At 38.6% G+C, this 936-nt stretch overlaps 1 protein-coding gene across 1 annotated transcript; it reads left to right on the top strand.

The window, feature by feature from the left end:
* Positions 1–291: 291 nt before the first annotated feature.
* Positions 292–661, top strand: KRTAP25-1 (keratin associated protein 25-1). Its single transcript, NM_001128598.1, has one exon. It carries the CDS (start codon positions 316–318, stop codon positions 622–624), a length of 309 nt encoding a protein of 102 aa, NP_001122070.1. The 5' UTR covers positions 292–315; the 3' UTR covers positions 625–661.
* Positions 662–936: the final 275 nt, after the last annotated feature.

The following is a 936-nucleotide window of genomic DNA, read 5'->3' as shown; positions in this document are numbered from 1 at the left end:
CTGCTATTATGGAAACTACAACTTCTGTTGTCTTGGGAGTTACTGCCATGTTCTTGTCACCTCATCCACTGCACTCTGGCCTACTTGTGTAAACTGGGACCATGCTCTGTGCTTGTCCAACCAACGCTGAATTTGACTTCTAGAAAACTCCCCAGAGACATGTGGTAAACCTTCCAGCTACCATTCATCCAGTTGTGTGCATGCAATTTGTAAAATTTCTTGCTGCTTTCTACTACTTACTGTGTCTCCAGACCTTGCCACTCAACTAGCTGTTTTTATATCAATCCTTATTTCTCAAGTTCCTGCCAATCCTCAATGCATAACAGATCTCAAGGCTTTTTTTTCAGTAGTTGCCACCCCCAAAACCATGTCTCTTATGGCTGTCAATCACCGAGCTTTATTTTTTGTCGCTGTCAATCACTGAATTTTGTGTCCAGGACCTGCTATCCCTTGAGCTATTTCTCCTATGGTAATCAAACTATAGGTTCTATATCCAACAGCTTCAGATCCCTGAATTATGTGTCTCATAGTTTCCAACCTATTTCCTTCATGCACAGCAGTTTCCAACCAGCTTGTTCTGATTTTGTGGGTTGGCAATCTCCATTTCTTAGAAGAACATGCTGAATTGTCTTTTCAGTGTCTTGCCCTGACAGCGTTTTACAGAAATTTTATCTTTAGGTTGAAGAATTGTTCTTAGGCTGATGGACCATTGTGTTTATAGTTCAGGTGCTGTTTTAACCTGTACCATTTTACTTGATCAAATTCTAAGAGATTGTAATTGTTTCTTCACTAGAAAATTTTCACTGCCAGCGATTCTTGATTTCTATGCCAATAATATGTCCTTGAATAGGAAGACAAGTTTTCATGGTTATTTATAAGTAAACTGTCTTCAAATTATATAGAAAAGAGTATCTTTTGGTTCTTCATTATCTTCAA

The sequence above is a fragment of the Homo sapiens genome, chromosome 21 (genome assembly GCF_000001405.40).
Source record: "Homo sapiens chromosome 21, GRCh38.p14 Primary Assembly".
Classification (NCBI taxonomy): domain Eukaryota; kingdom Metazoa; phylum Chordata; class Mammalia; order Primates; family Hominidae; genus Homo; species Homo sapiens.
Note: the sequence above shows the minus strand (reverse complement) of the source record. Positions and strands in the feature narration are given on the sequence as shown.

What these genes read in the sequence shown, in the direction of transcription:
- KRTAP25-1 (NM_001128598.1), top strand. Translation starts at nt 316, where the DNA reads ATGCATAACAGATCTCAAGGCTTTTTTTTCAGTAGTTGCCACCCCCAA.